Source organism: Homo sapiens, chromosome 12 (assembly GCF_000001405.40).
Source record: "Homo sapiens chromosome 12, GRCh38.p14 Primary Assembly".
Taxonomy (NCBI): Eukaryota; Metazoa; Chordata; class Mammalia; order Primates; family Hominidae; genus Homo; species Homo sapiens.
The window spans coordinates 107537549-107554448 of NC_000012.12; the positions used below are offsets into that span (position 1 = coordinate 107537549).

The following is a 16900-nucleotide window of genomic DNA, read 5'->3' on the forward strand; positions in this document are numbered from 1 at the left end:
GCTTCTCAGGTCTTCCTGATGGCAGCCTTCCCCCTTGGCTTTTCCTCCACCCTCCCTTGCTCACTCCAGGCTGTCTGCAGCACAGCCTTCCTCCCAGAGGACAGTGAGTGTCAACATGGCTCAGTTACTGGGCAGCCCACACCCTTCAAACTACTTCTCTTTGGGGACAGTGGAGGCCAAGTCTACCTCAGATCTGGCCAACCTCAGAGCTTCTCAGACTCTGCCCTCCAAATGCAGATTCACAGGAATTCCAGCCTCTGCAAGTTCGTCCCGCAGTTTTTCAGAGTCCCCAGGTGGCATCTGATGTGTAGCCACCACTTCCTGCCAGGCTGTGGCCCAGCTTAGGGCTGCCCACAGCCTGCGGCCTTGGCCTCCTGTGAGCCTGCATGAGCCTATGGCTGGGGCTGCCTTGGAAGACTCTGACCTCCCAGCCAAGGGCACGACTGGGAAGTCTCCAGGCCTTTCCAAAGCTACTGCCATCAACCCTGCCTCCATGGTCTATGCAGCTCTTCCCCACTCTATGCCCACCGAGAATGCCACTACCAACAGATGCCAGTGGAAGGGGTGCTGACCTGTTCTGCCAAAACCCTAGGGATGCAGAAGCAGCTTGGGATCTCCGGAGGCTGTGCTGCCCCCAGGGCATGAAGACCCCTGCCTTCACAGGGCAGCGTGGTGTGGGGGAGAGCCAGATGGCAGCAGCTTCCAGGCCAGTTATTGGACTCAGTGGCAGTGTAATTTCAGTCTTATTAGTTCTCTGTGCCTCACTTTCCTCATTTGTGAGATGCATATGCTAGCAGGACCAGCCCCATTGGGTCATGTGGCACTTAAATGGGTGTAACAGGTCTAAAGTGCTAAGAATTATCCTGCACACAGGAAGCACTAGCTGTTGGTTTGCTGTCATCCACCTTAGCCTCCTCTGGTGATCCCAGAGCTCAGCTGTCTGGGCTCCTCCAACTTTTCATAGCTTTCAGGGAGCAGCTCTTTGAGCTCTGCCAGGGGCCAGGCAGGAAGTCTGATCAGAGAGACCAGGATTCTGTTGATTTCAGCACCAGCTTCCTTCCAGGCCTCCGTTGTTGTTGAGTTGCTTCTTCTACCCCTCCAGGCTCTTCCTGCTTGGTGATTTATTTCTTACAGCCTCCTTGGTCATTTATGCAGGTTGACCATCAGCCACCCCGCTGTCCTCCAGACAGACACCAATGGGGTAGACTCTGAGAACCCCAGGCTGGAAGCTCTGCTCCATCAGCAGAGGCCAACCAAATTCCTGAGCCCCCACCCCACAAAGTGGGCCCCACTCTGGAGTCTGTGACGGCACAGACTTTGGGAGATGTTTGGGATTTGAGCCTCAGACTCTTCGTCAGACTTTTTAAGGGCCACACTCAAAACTGGGTTCTAGATTTGTGCCTTTTTGGAGGCACTGTGTCATAGTGACAAAGAACACAAGCCCACATTGTGTGTCCAACTCCAGGTTGGAGTCACAGCCTGCCACTTGCTGAGTGACACCTGGGCCAGTTGCCTCCTCCCTCAATTTTCCCATCTCTGAAATTGATATAATAATGCTCACCTTGTGTGGCTCTTATATAAATCAAATAGAAAACGTGTCTAAATGCCCGGAGACATGGTAGGTGCTCAGCATATTGGGGCTTCTACCTCTGCTGTCTCTTCTTCCTCTACTCCAGGTCACTGTCCTCACTGGAAAATTAAAAACATTGTCTCAGTGCCCGATCCCACCCCAGGCCTCTATCTTTGAGTTTTCTTCTAGGTCCCTTCCCAACTTTCACTGATTGGGAGCTCTTATTCTGACCAGTGGTTGGAGCTTCCCCTTACTAGGCTAAAGTGATGTGAATGCCCGGAGGCAGGCACCCAGCTTAGCTTCCTTTTTTTTTCTTCCTCCCAGGGAGTGCAATCTCTAAAACATGAGAATGGAGAGAAAAAGGAAGCAGTAGCAGCTAAGGATCTCAGTGCACCCCAAAGGGACCCCAGGAATGAGCAGCTTTGCAGTGTAGAGTCCTAAAAAAGTCAACCCCAGCATGAAGCAGCAAATCAGGTGCTCAGCGTTCAGAATGCTGGCAGGACTACCCCTCTCTGTCCCATGTACCCAGCATCCTGGTCTCACCACTCAGAAAGGAGGAAGAGCAGGCAGCCCATGAGCCCAGGAGAACTGCTTATTCAATGCCAAGTATGCCAGGCATTTACACATTTTGCACTTAACCCTCATAACCACCTGAGAGGTGAAGATTATTCCTCACCTGAGAGGTTAAGTGACTCGCCTGTGTTTACACAGGCTGGAGCTGAGATTTGAACTCTTTCCTCTGATCCCTGCTTAACTTTCAGCAGTAGTTCCCCACGTTTTCCATCTGCAGCTGCCCTTATGTCTTCCCTGTGATCTGCCTCTAAAAGAGAATGTCCTTCCTTGATGCTTTTAAAAATTTCTTGGATGAATTTTCCAGCTGTGGGAAATGGAGAGTGGAGAGGCAGGCTCAGGGCTGGGTATGTGAAGATGCAGAGAGATGTAGGGATATAACCCCCTGCGTTAGTCTATTTGTGCTGCTCTAACAAAACTCCTGAGACTGGAGGATTTATAAAGAACAGAAATGTATTTTCTTATAGTTCTGGAGGCTGGGAAGTTCAAGATCAAGATGCCAGCCAGGTCAAGGTCAGGTGGTCTGGTTCTCTCTGCCTCCAAGATGGTGGCTTGTTGCCATATCCTCATATGGCAGGAGGTGGAAGGGCAAGAGAAGAAGAGTGTTCCAGCTCCAGAAGAGAGAGAAAGAGAAAATTTACCTTTCCTGTGCCTTTTTGTTCTATCCAGGCCTCGGCCACTTGGATGGTGCCTGCCCACACTGGGTGAGGACAGGTCTTCCTCACTCAGCCCACTGATTCAAATGCCAGTCTCTTCTGAAAATACTCTCACAGACACACCCAGAAATAATGCATTACCGGCTATCTAGGTGTCCTTTAATCCAGTCAAGTCGACTCCTAAAATTAACCATCATACCCCTTGCTGCCATCTGCACAAGGCCCTGATCTGTTGGCCAGGCACTGAGCTCAGTGGATCGTAGTCTAGTTAGGCTGTCCTGACGAAGCCTTAGGACTTAGATAACATAGAGCTTTCCTTTATTTCGACAACTCCTATTAGAAATAGGGGCTGCTTGTGGCTGGGTGCTGTGGCTCACTCATATAATCCCAGTACTTTGGGAGGCTGAGGCAGGAGGATCACTTGAGGCCAGAAGTTCGAGACCAGGCTGGGTATGAAAGCAAGACTCCATCTCCACTACAAAAAATTAAAAAAATAAAAATTAATAAATAGCCGGGCATGGTGGCTTGTGACTGTAGTTCCAGCTACTTGGGAGGCTTAAGTGGGAGGATCGCTTGAGCCCAGGCTGCAGTGAGCTATGATCACCCTGCTGCACTCCAGCCTGGGTGAGAGAGTGTCTCTTAAAAAAGAAAAAGAAATAGTAGCTGCTTGGAATCTTGTCTTGAGAAGGACTTTAGGGCTGCATCTATAATCAATCAATCAATCAAGAGCTCTGTGAACCTCATTCCCATAATCAACCCCCCTAAAGCTGGTGAACAGTCCTCTTGTCAGTCATCTTTTGAAGTAGTGGCCCCTCCCTCAGACAGGAAACAGGAAGCCAGGAGATGAGTCCTAAGCCTTCGGAGGAGAAACTCCTGCCTCTCACTTTGCCTCACTTACTCGAATTTGGATGTTAGGTAAATGTGTCACGTTGAAAGGTACAGCAGGATGGTGGAGAAGGGGTGAGATCTAAAGGACTGGTTTCAGCTGGACAATGAGAGGGAATGGGGGAGCCCCAACAGGGGCTAGCATCATGTCAGATATCGTATTAGTCAGCATTCTCCAGAAAAACAGAACCAACAGGATTTCTCTCTCTCTCTCTTTCTCTGTAGCGAGATAGACTGAGAAAGTCATTTATTTTAAGGAATTGGCTCATGTGATTGTGGGAGCTGGCAAGTCCAAAATTTTGCAGTGCAGGCCAGCAGGCTGGAGATTCTAGTAAAAGTTGTTGCAGTCTGGAGACGGAATGCTTTCCTCTTCGGAGAACTTCAGTCTTTTCTCTTAAAGCCTTCAATTAATTGATGAGGCTCACCCACACTGTGGGAGGTAATCTGCTTTTCTCAAAGTCTATTGATTTAAATGTTAATCACATCTAAAAAATACCTTCATAAGGGAACAATAGACACTAGGGCCTACCTGAGGGTAGGGGATGAGGGGGCATGAAGACTGAAAAACTACCTGTTGGGTACTATGCTGTTTACCTGGTGACAAAATAATCTGTACACCACACTCCTGCGACATGCAATTTACTCATGTTACAAACCTGTATGTGTACCCCCGAACCTAAAATAAAAGTTGGAAAGAAAAAAAAAAAACCTTCTTTATAGCAACATCTAGACTAGTGTTTGATCAAACAACTGGGCACCATAGCCTGGCCAAGTTGACACATAAAATTAACCATCACTGGCCAGGCGCGGTGGGTCACACCTGTAATCCCAGTACTTTGGGAGGCCAAGGCGGGCGGATCACCTGCGGTCTGGAGTTCGAGGCCAGCCTGGCCAACATGGTGAAACCCCATCTCTACTAAAAATACAAAAAAATTAGCTGGGAGTGGTGGTGCATGCCTGTAATCCCAGCTACTCAGGAGGCTGAGGCAGGAGAATTGCTTGAACCCGGGAGGCAGGGGTTGCAGTGAGCCGAGATCGCACCACTGCACTCCAGTCTAGGCAACAGAGCGAAACTCTGTCTCAAAAAAAAAAAAAATTAACCATCACAGATATCTTAGGCGGCTGTCTCCCAAAGTACGCAACATATTCTGGTGTGCATGAGATGATCGTAAGTAGGACAGGGCAAGTGCATTAAATAATATTGATTATAGAGTGATTCTTTTACATTCATTTGAATCTTAATTACTTTAAAAAGAAAGGCTCCATTTGATATCAGCCCCTAACACTTCTGTAACACCTGTTACGTATAAAAAGGAAAACGGGGCCAGAATTCAGCTAGAAATTAATTACATTTGATCCTTGAACAATCTGGGACTTAGGGGCACTGAACCCCTATGCAGTCAAAAATCTCTGTGTAACTTTTGACTCCCCAAAAGCTTACTACTAATATCCCACTGTTGACCAGAAGCCTTACTGGTAACATAAACAGTCCATTAACGTGTATTTTATGTTATATTCTTATATATGATATTCTTACCATAAGTAAGCTTGAGAAAAGAAAAAATTATTAAGGAAACCATAAGGAAGAGAAAATGTACTTACTATTCATTAAGTGGAAGCAGATCATCATAAAGGTCATCATCCTTGTCATCTTCATGTTGAGTAGGCCCAGGAGGAGAAGGAAAAGGAGGAGTTGGTCTTGTTGTATGATGGGTGGCAGAGGTGGAAGAAAATCCATGTATAAGTGGATCCAAGTAGTTCCAGCCTGCATTGTTCAAGGGTGAACTGTACACTGTTTTGTTGTCATCAAATTTACTTTTATAGGGCAGAGCGTGGTGGCTTATGCCTGTAATCCCAGCACTTTGGGAGGCAGAGGCAGGCAGATCACCTGAGGTTAGGAGTCCAAGAGCAGCCTGGCCAACATGGTGAAAACTCATCTCTACTAAAATTACGAAAATTAACCGGTTGTGGTGGCAGGCACCTGTAGTCCCAGCTACTCAAGAGGCTGAGGAGGCAGGAGAATCGATTGAACCCGGAAGGCAGAAGTTGCAGTGAGTGGAGATCATGCCACTGCACTCCAGCCTGGGCAACAGAGCAAGACTCCATCTCAAAAAAAAAAAAAAAAAAAAGGAAAAAAAACACGAAAAGTACAGTGTGATAACCCAAGTAAGGGCAGGGTGGTTCTAGAGGGGGTTTCCTAGAGGAATTAATTTATAAGCAGATACCTGGATGATCAGTAGGAGTTAGCCTGGAGAAGAAGAGGGAGAGAATGTTCTGGACAGAGGGAATAGCATATGTACAAGGCTCAGGGGCAATAGAGAGCATAGCCCATTCTTGTGACTACAGTTAAAGCAGTGTTGGCCACAACATAGAGGGTGTGTCACAGGGCGAGGGAGGCAGTATGCAGGAACGGGACGCAAAGGGCTTCCTGAGCCTTGTTAGAAACATTGGGTTCCAGAAGGGCAGGATTAAAATGATCTTAGCCGCCCTCTGTGCTTGAAACGCACCCCAGATTCAGTAAGCCCTCCTATGCTGAATGAATGAATCCATTCCTCTCTGCTTGGTGAGTGACTTCAAGGTCCCATTGAACCACTTTATTTAAATAAGGGACTGCAAGGACCAGGGTCTCCACAGAGATCTTCAGGTACAGTTTCTCTGCCAATGTTGGCTTCCTGGAGGATCTGAAATCTTCCTTCTGTCCACAGGTGACCTGGTGTCCCGTGCAATGCATCACCTGCAGCCCCTCAATGCCAAGCACCACGGCAATGGCACCCCCCTGCACCACAAGCAGGGGGCACTGTACTGGGAGCCCGAGGCCCTGTACACCCTTTGCTATTTCATGCACTGCCCACAAATGGAATGGGAAAACCCCAACGTGGAGCCTTCCAAAGTCAACCTCCAGGTGGAAAGGTAAGAACTGCCTTGCCTTGCCTTGTGGTGGGTGGGTACTGCCTCCAGGGTGGGGCAAGTGTCCAGGATGGGGAGGATGATGGGGGTAGAAAGGACTCACTTCCTAAAACTTGCCAGAGTGGTCCCGGTGGGAACCTTGCACCCTGAGGGGATATCTTAGACCCGTGTGGGGGTCCTTGAAATGGGTTTTTATAGGGCTGGTTCTGTTTAGGATAAAACTGGCCTATGTCAGATAAGTGGGTCTGCAAATTCCAGAGGGTAAGGGCCTCTGCAGTGATGGGTGGTGTCCTCATGAAGGCAGTCTTGGAGGATGCCACCACCTCTCGTGGGAGTTATCTTCATCTTCTTTCATCCTGGCTGCCCCAGGGCCCGGGATAACCAGAAGCACCTACTCAGCCAGAAGTGGGCCTCTCAGGTGGGCAAGGGGCTTGATTGCCCAGGGAGAGGCAGTGTGACTGTTCTTTGAAGCCAAATCCTCATGGGGAAGGAAGGAACTGGGAGAGGACCCGGAGGCTGCCTGGAGGCCTCCTGTCTGCCTCCCCACTTCCTTTAGCGACGGATTAATAGATCCTCTCCCCACAGTGTCTCACGAATCAGGTCCCTCCTCCATACAGACTCATTCACTCTGAGTACTGTAGGTGTGACCCATTTATCAAAAAGAGAGGTTAAGAGAGCAGGCTCTGTGATCCTGACTGCCTAGGTTCAAATCCAGGCTTTTCTAATTAAAAGCTGGGGATCCTTGGGAAAGGCATCTGCAAAATAGGGATACAAAGAGTAAATTCTACATAGGGATGTTTGAAAATTTAATAAATTGAACAGTGCCCAGCACATAGTAGGTGCTCAATAAATGTTAACTTTTATTATTGTTGTTGTAGATATGATCTGCATATAGCTGAACAACTCCCAACTTGGGCTCCTACAGTTTTCCTTTCTGTTACTTGGTGCCAAGTGGTTTTGGAAAGCTCATTGGATGCTCTGCTTCTGCCAGATGGATTGGGGCTGAATTGGGCTGTCTTACAAAACCATGTCTCTTGGCTTTCAGTTAAGGGAAAAAGATGGAACATAGGCTATACGGAGGTTGCTGTTTCTTTTTTTCTTTTTCTTTTTCTTTTTTTTTGAGACAGGATCTCACTCTGTCACCCAGGCTAGGTAGAGTGCAGTGGCATGATCTCTGCTCACTGCAACCTCTGCCTCCCGGCTCAAGCGATTCTCATTCCTCAGCCCCCCTCAAGTAGCTGGGACTACAGTCATGCCCCACCACACCCAGCTAATTTTTGCATTTTTTTTGTAGAGACAGGGTTTCACCATGTTCCCCAGGCTGGTCCCAAACCCTGGGCTCAAGCAATCCTCCTGCCTCATCCCTCAAAGTGCTGGGATTACAGGGTGAGCAATCATGCCAGGCTACTTCTTCTTTTTATTTAAGAATCCCAACTCAACATCAATATTTCAATCCAGTCTGGAATTAACTTATTCAGGAAATTAACTCATTAAATTACTCAGGTCTCCCACCATCCACAACAAATCAGTCAGTACGTTGTGCATATTTTCACGTGCAAACATGCCCCAAATGGAGAGGTGGTAAAATGCCCATGGCCAAAAAATAATCTTTCAGACACACCAAAACTTTGCTGTCTCTGGGTACAAATGCTAAGAGTTGAGAGAATGGAAACTACTGGCCTCAGCCTATGGAGTGTCTAGCTCTTCACTCCTAGCCCCAACAGCCTGTCCAGCCGTGCAGTTTCTCTGGCTCAGCTCCCTCATGTCATCTCCTGCTCCCACCTCCATGCAGATGAGTCCGTCTCCCCGCTGCAGCTAGACACGGCCTCCTCTGAGCTCCAGAACCTTTTCATCTCACTCAGCCGACTTTCAGTTTCCACTGTCAAGTCTCATACTTGCAGGCTGATTCTTCTTCTCCTAGCATCTTATTCTTTTCTGCCTCATACTTAACGTAATTTGTAACTATGTGTGTATTTCTGTGTTTATTTATTGCCTGTAAAGCTTCATGAAGGCAGAGAACACATCTGTTTTGGCCATCACTCCTCAGTTGATGCCAAACTCAACATCTGGAGCAGAGTAGGAGGTCCACAAATATTTGTAGAATGAAAGAATGAGCAAACCTATTGATCTAAGTTCCTATGGGACATTTCCATCTGGAGAGCTCAAACTACCTCAAAACTAAAGCCATCATCTCTCCCCCAAAACCCACTGTTCCTCCTTTCTCCCCAGGCTCTAAGAATGTTACCACCATTGGCCTGGTCACCCCAGTCAGAAAACTGAGACTTGACTAGCACTCCTTCCTCTCCCTCACCATCTCCAGCTGGTCAGCAGGTCTTACTGAGGCTGCATCGTGAGATTTCTTTATTCCTTCCCTGCTAGACCACTGCCACTGCATGGCTCAGGACCCCATCTTTTCTACTTCAGTTTCTACTTTTGATGTCTACACGGTATCCTTGCATGTGAGCTTTAATAGTCTTCTGACCTTGGGAGGCTGAGGCAGGTGGATCACCTGAGGTCAGGAGTTTGAGACCAGCCTGGCCAACATGGTGAAACCCCATCTCTACTAAAAATACAAAAAATCAGCCAGGTGTGGTGGCACACACCTGTAGTCTTAGCTACTCAGGATGCTGAGGCAGGAGAATCGCTTGAACCCAGGAGGCGGAGGTAGCAGTGAGCCAAGATCAGGCTACTGCACTCCAGCCTAGGTGACAGAGTGAGATTCCATCTCAAAATAAATTTAAATTAAATTTAAAAATTTAAAAATCCTCTGACCAAGGCTGGGCACAGTGGCTCACACTTGTAATCCCAGCACTTTGGTAGGCCAAGGCGGGTGGATGACTTGAGCTCAGGAGTTCCAGACCAGCCTGGGCAACATGGCAAGACCCCATCTCTATGAAAAGTACAAAAATTAGCTGGGTGTGGTGGTGCTTGCCTGTAGTCCCAGCTACTTAGGGGGCTGAAGCAGGAGGATTGCTTGAGCCTGGGAGGTCGAGGCTGCAGTGAGCTGAGATTGCACCACTGCACTCCAACCTGGGTCACAAAGTAAGACCCTGTCTTGAAGAAGAAGGAGAAGAAGGAGAAGGGGGAGGGGGAGGGGGAGGAAGAAGAGGAAGAGGAAGAAGAAGAACAACAACAACCACAACCCTCTGATGAGCTCCATCTTCCTCACAGCTACCAGGCTGAAACTTCTAAAATGGAAGTCTCGCCATGTGACATCCTCCCTGCTCCTGCTCAGCACAGTTGCCCAGCTCCCATTATACTTTCTATTACACAGTGTCCATTTTCCCTCTTGAATCTCCTTCTGGACTCAGAGTGTAGTTGGAGTGGCTGGAAGTCAAAAAGGACCTTCTAATGCTTCCAAACCTTCTGGGACAAGTTTTAAAGAGGCACGAGCAGGGAAGGAGAGCAAAGAGAACATGTCCCAGAATTTGTCAGAGCCATTTATCTCATTCTTTCCATGCCTCTTTGGTTGAATTTTCAAGAGTCAGCACAAAACACAAAGTGGAACTTAGAGTTTTCCAGATTCTGTTCAGTGTGATCCTCTGGGAAGCATGTGGATTGGAAGTCATATAGTCCTTTAAATTTGAATCCCAGCTCGGCTTCTTGTAGCTCTGTTATTTCACCTCTTTGAACTTCCATTTGTCCTTCGTAAGGTGAGAACACAACCATCCTCATGAGACTGATGTGAGCAATGAATTAGACATTGTAGCTAAGACATCCAGTGCCATGCCTGGCACAAGGGGAGCCCCCTTCCTCCCTAAAGCAGTCACTCATATTATACTTTTTGGGCTCTAAAATGCTGTTTTCATTGTCCTTAAAGAAACCTGCCTGTGATTCTTTCTAGAGGGATCGTTATTTCTTCCGGCTCCCTGATGGAACAGGTTTTAGTGTTTAGCACTGGAAAACACATGTGGAAGAACTTCAGAGGCAAGGGGGCCTCTGTTTTCAGTCAAGTGTTTATTCACACCAGCTCTGTACCAAAGCCTCCAAAAGAGAATTTCCAATAGAAGTTAGGACTCTAATTTGGAGTTATTTCTTTCTCTCCTCTCTCCTGTGTTCTTTTTATCCTGCAATTCTATCAAACAGGATCATCTCCTTGACTATCATTATTCTGACAAAGTCAGGTAGGGCCATGATGCTTATATGGTTTTCCTCTAGACTATAAGCTCTTCAAGAACAGGGGCTGAATATTATTTGTTTTCATCTGTGCCCAACAGACGGCCTGGGAAATATTGGTGAAATATGGATTATTTTATGCCTCAAACCATCCTTTCTTGTCAGAACAGCCTTTCTTGGCTGAGGTATTTGGAAGTAGGCCTGCATGCACCATTTTACCATTTCATGTGGGCACAGCTTTGGAGTTGCTGCATTTGTTTTGGATAGTTTCGTTTTTCATTGTGGAATTTTGAAGAAGCTTAGTGCCAGTGTGAGATTTCTGTAGTCTAAGTTTTTCCAGAACTTTGGCTACTATTTCTTGAGCTTCTAAAATCATTCAGTTACCTCAGATATTTTTATTTTACAAAACTCAGACAAATTTTATAATATTTACGATTAGGTGATATTTATTTTCCAAATAGTAATGATAAATGAAAACACCTTAATTTTGATGGGAGGGGCCATGTGAGGGTACTGTTTTCAAAAAGAATCATCCTAAATCTAGAATAAGGTTTCTCTCACCTGTATCATTACCGGAAATATCCGTGATTCCTACATGTCTTTGGCCATGGATGATTTTAGTAATTTATTACCACAAGATGAAAAAAATAGTAGGATAAATGGGAGTATTTTGTTGCCTCAGGTAGCTAGCTGGTAATGCCTAGGGTAACTGTGAGCAGCTTCACTTGGAAAACTAGACAATTAAGTAGTTCTGCCCTCTTCCAGTCTCACTGAAAACAAACCAGAATTTATTCCTAGGTAGTGGTAGCTCTTGTTACTTTTGCAAACGGAATGTACAGACATTTATATCAGGGAAATGTCTGCCAGGGGAATCTCAACTATAAACATGAGTATACAATCACCAATCACCAACTGTTTGAGGAAAACTAATAATGTGAAACAAAATAATCTTAACAAATGGAAGAATTTACACTTGAAGAAACAGAGTTAATAAAACAGACATAACAGACATTAGCAGTGAATGACAACCAAATACATGTTCCATGATACTCACTCTACCAAAAGCTCACCCCAACACATTACATCTTAACATTTTTTATCTCTGTGATGTATGTGACAAGTGAGATTCAAACTTCAACTTACTCCTATGGACATACCTGCAGTTATGCAATAAGTCCAGCATGTTAGTTATAGCTCTACTCTGTTCTTTTCCTCTAAGGAATGTAAATCAGAATGCAAGTGAGTAGAGGTATCCTTGATACAAGCAGCACTACCAGTCAGGATACTTAGTTGCAAAAGCTGAACCTCTCATGACTGCTTAAAGCAGGAAGAAAACCTCTGGGAGGCCCAGTATGGGTAGAAGATTAACAAATCTTTTCCCCTTCTGCATGAAAATTTGACCTTGAATTAACTCTCTAGCTCTGTTCCCCTGGAGGAAACCTTATAAAAATTGCAGTGTCAACCCTTATGTTTCTGGGAAACATTGCTTATGGCCAGAATGATCCCAGATTGACAAATTACATCTGGCCTGGAGGTACCAGAAATATTGATAAAGACCCAGAGCTTTGGACTTCCCTTAATTTATTGACTCTCGTAACTAGCTGTGTCTTTTGAAGAGGCCTTGGAAGCTATTGCTATGGAGTTGTTACAAGAGATATTGGGGCTTGTAAAACAGGGCAGGGCACCTTGCACAATCACCCATGTAGATCTCAGCTCCTTGCACCTGCATGTCACCTGGACAGGAGATAAGTTCCTGATGACTGGGCGAACTGCTACAAGGGCTCCCACTGAAAGAATATCTGATACTGTCCTGCTGGGCCCAGGTAGCCTATGATAGTCCCATGAATCTAAGTGTTTAGTAGATCCTAATAAGACTTCTGGTGGGCATTGAAGCCAGAGGGCCAGGCTTTGAGGCTATATAACCAGGCTACATAACCTGGGATTGCACCCCAAGACTGCTCTAGCAGAGATCTCACAGCCACTAGTACTAGGCACAGACACTGGACCTCACACCACTGATGCTGGCCATTGAACACTCCAACAGGACCTGTCATTGTTTCCCCTAAAGGCTGAGTGTCTCTCTCACCACCCATATCAGCTCCATGTACCCCACATGTCACAGGACCTGCCTGGACCCTAACAAGGGAGTCTGGGAAGGTGAATTTCTACCTGGTAGAATTATGGACTCGTAATATGGAAAATTCTCTGAACACAGTAACATCATCGGTGGTTCTGGGAAGCTAAAAAAAAAAAAAAATGAAAAACAACAACAACAACAAAAAACTGACAAAATCCACTATATTCTTCTAATTTTCTTTCTTTCTTTCTTTCTTTTTTTTTTTTTTTGAGACAGAGTCTCAATCTGTCACCCAGGTTGGAGTGCAGTGGCGTGATTTCGGCTCACTGCAACCTCCGCCTTCCAGGTTCAAGCGATTCTCCCGCCTCGGCTTCCCAAATAGCTGGGACTACAGGTGCATGCTATCATGCCCAACTAATTTTTTTGTATTTTTAGTAGAGACAGGGTTTCACCATTTTGGCTAGACTGGTCTCAAACTCCTGACCTCAAGTGATCCGCCTGTCTCGGCCTCCCAAAGTGCTGGGATTACAGGTGTGAGCCACCGCACCCAGCCTCTGCTAATTTACTTTTAAAAAAATAAATAACCCACAAGTGAATCATTTGCACAGGCCAGCACTTATGACCATTATTAGTCACACAAGTCACAACTGACTGGCTTACACATCACAGTTGAGAACAAAAATACCACCCCAATGTAAGGACTCCTTGGTCTAACACCCTGGAAGCCTCAATAGCAAGAAGGAGAGAGGAGAGCCATTCCTGGTATCCTAAGCAGGGATTCAGAAGGTCTATTCTCAGAGGAAGAATGCTACTTCCTTATCTTCCTGAGGGAGCAATCACATCTGGCTCATTTTGCAGTCCCCTACAATGCCCAGCCCAGGGCTAATGGCTCTGGAGAAACTCAGAGTTGCTGGATGAATGGGGACATGCTAGAGCGAGAAGATGAGATATTAGATCTGTTTTCTGTAGACCTGGAATCTCAACCACCATATAAATGATTCCTAAGGAGAAAAAAAAATACATGTTGAATTCTAAATTATTGACCCAAAAAGCAAAGTTTTGAAACATGATCCATTTGTAACTTGAGCATTGTGGCAATTTATTTCCTCTGGCCATGGTAAAAACTGCTGTAGCTCCACTATGTTTCAGACTGCAGGTTACAGCCCATGAGTGGGCCATTACATCAATGTGCTAAAGGTTAGCTAACAACACCCTGCTGATAAATCTGGCCCACTGTCTGTTTTTACAAATAAAGTTTTATTGGAATACAACCACACTCATTTGTTTACATATTATTTATGGCTGCTTTTGCACTGTGACAGAGTTGGTTAGTTATGACAGAGACTTTAGGGTCCAGAAAGCTGAAAATAGTATTTGGCCCTTCCCAGAAGAAGTTTGCTGACCTCTAATGTGGGTTATAATCTTCTTTTTTTTTTTTTTGAGACAGAGTTTCACTCTTATTGCCCAGGCTGGAGTGCAATGGCACAATCTCTGCTCACTGCAACCTCCACCTCCCGGGTTCAAGTGATTCTCGTGCCTCAGCCTCCCGAGTAGCTGGGATTACAGGCATGCACCACCATGCCCGGCTAATTTTGTATTTTTAGTAGAGATGGGGTTTCACCATGTTGGTCAGGCTGGTCTCAAACTCCTGACCTCGGGTGATCCGCCTTCCTCGTTCTCCCAAAGTGCTGGGATTACAGGCGTGAGCCACCGTGCCCAGCCATAATCTTCCTTTTCAGAAAAATCAGTGAGAATTAAATTTTTAAAATCAGAGTAGTTTTTGCCCCAGTTATATTAACCTAACTGAAGTTGATTTCTTGCCCAAGGCCATACCTGAAGTTGGAGAAGGAATACTTGAACCTTTGGAGTCAAGCCCTGGTCTGGGCTCCTAGCCATTAGTCTGTTTTGCTTCCATAGGCAGTGGTTTTAAAGAAATAAAGTTTGAAAGCCTCATCCCCAGTCCCTATAATTTTTTTCATAATCTTCATTAGTATTTGCAGGGTATAAAATGAATACACTTATTAAATAAAATGTGACAAGTCCAAAAAATCTAAAGAAGGAACTTTGAATGACTCCTAGTCTCCGTATCCAGCGATAAGCACTATGACTATATAAGGCATTTCCTTCTAGTCTAGTTTTCTGCGTACATACAACAGCTTTTGGTTGTTTCACAATATAGGATCCAGATACTACACCTACTTTTGTTGATTTGTGCCATTGGATAGCCTTCAAAAGCATGACTTGTTTGTTCTGTCATTGGACATGAAATTTAGTCAAAAGAGATCTTAGAACAGAGAAAGTTCACTTCTTTCATGCCAAAGTTAATGAAATCGAAGCCCAGAGTGATGAGGGACTTGGATGGAGTCACGAGCACATTTCTAGAGGCTTTGCAAGGCAGTGCCTCCGTGCCTTTACTTATGTTTTGCCCTCTTGAAATGCTTCCTTCCCTCTGTGCCATCCTCTAGCTACCTCCTTAAGTTCATACTTCAAGATCCAATTTAGGCATCACCCCCAGAAACCCTTCCCTACCACTTCAGATTGTACTAAATGATCAGTGCATAGCATATAGTAAGTGCTCAATAAATACTTGCAGAACTGAACAGAGCTGGGCCTGAAACCTAGGTGTTCCTGCTTCCAGCCCAGAGAGCCATGTTGCCGAATCAACTCAGGCAGTCCTCATTTTGGTACTGGTTCTTGCATTCAAGTGCTGTGTGACCTCAAGGCTTCAGTTTCTTCAGCTGTGAACAAGAAATAATAATTTATACTTCATGGGGTTGTTTCAGTGACAAATGAACTAACTAACATAAGTGTCATGCATGATCATTGACACCATGGTGGGTGATCCATGAATGGTGGGGATTATTCTCTACTCCCTTAATCCAGATTGATCTCTTCTTTGATATTGCAAGAGATTTTGATGAACACTTACAAATGTGGCAGGCCCTGCTCTAAATACTTTATGTGTATTAACTCATTCAGTCCTCCCAATACTCCTTGAGGCAGGAGCAGATAGCCTTACCTCTTCCCATTTTACAGATGAGGAAACTGAGATGCAACACGGTCATGTAAGTTGCCCAAGGTCATGCACATTGGGGCAACTCTATAAGTATCACAAATGTCAAATGAGTGCTGGGTGACTATAGGGAAGGGAGCTACATGCTAAGGGGACAGAATATGCACCACCGGGGGAGGAAGGTGAGTGCACAGAGAGTGAGACCTTGTCCAGAAGAGGCTTTGGATGCAGCCCCAGACCAAGCTGGAAGGAAGGTTGAGAGACTTGATAAGGTGGCAGGACGTTCTCCTGTAGGCAGTGAAGAATTCAGAAGAGACTGGGCGTGGTGGCTCAAACCTGTAATCCCAGCATTTTGGGAGGCCAAGGCAGGCAGATCACTTGAGGGCAGGAATTCAAGACCATCCTGGCCAACATGGCAAAACCCCATCTCTACTAAAAATACAAAAAATTAGGTAGGCATCGTGGCACATGCCTGTAGTCCCAGCTACTTGGGAGGCTGAGGCACAAGAATCACTTGAACCCGGGAGGTGGAGGTAGCAGTGAGCCAAGATTGTGCCACTGCAGTCCAGCCTGAGTGACAGAGCAAGACTGTCTTGAGAGAGAGAGAGAGAAGAGGAATTCAGAAGACTCAGAAAGGGATGCTGAGCAGGGAGGTAAGAGACCAGAACTGTGTCTGAGACCTCAGTAGAAGCATAAGGGATGGTAACGGAGAGTACTGAACATTTGATGAGCGTCTACTATGTGTCATGTACTGTGTGAGACACTTTACATACAGAGTTTAATTTAACCCCCACATCAACCTTGTGAAGTAGGTTATGTCTCACCTGCAGATGAGAACATTAAGTCTTTGATCCTAAATTGTTGCTTAGTAGGAACATGTTATTTGGAACCTAAGGATCGTCATAGCACATTTTTTATTTTTAATTAATAATATTTAGATATGCTTATGGGGTACAGTGTGCTATTTCAATACATGTATACATCAATTAGGAAGAATAGTTCTAGATTTTTTTTTTTATTCTAGAGCCAGAATGCCTAGGTGAATATTCAGAGCTCTAATACTCATTAGCTGTGTGGCCTTAAATAAGTTACTTAACCACTCTGAG

The 16900-nt window shown here is 45.6% G+C and overlaps 1 protein-coding gene across 7 annotated transcripts in view, besides 1 other annotated feature; it reads left to right on the forward strand.

The window, feature by feature from the left end:
* The window catches only part of ABTB3 (ankyrin repeat and BTB domain containing 3), a 341209-nt gene that overhangs the window by 219115 nt on the left and 105194 nt on the right, over positions 1-16900 (forward strand). For all 7 annotated transcript variants that reach the window (NM_001018072.2, NM_001347943.2, XM_047428301.1 and 4 more), the window contains exon 3: positions 6387-6591. In NM_001018072.2, coding sequence (NP_001018082.1) covers positions 6387-6591 — 205 coding nt within the window. The remainder of the gene's footprint in view (positions 1-6386; positions 6592-16900) is intronic.
* Positions 392-956: an enhancer, noted in NCBI's record as "H3K27ac-H3K4me1 hESC enhancer chr12:107931717-107932281 (GRCh37/hg19 assembly coordinates)". NCBI's record gives its function as "activates a minimal SCP1, AML or CMV promoter by ChIP-STARR-seq in primed H9 embryonic stem cells {active_cell/tissue: H9 hESC(primed)}" and the evidence as "EXISTENCE:reporter gene assay evidence [ECO:0000049][PMID:30033119]".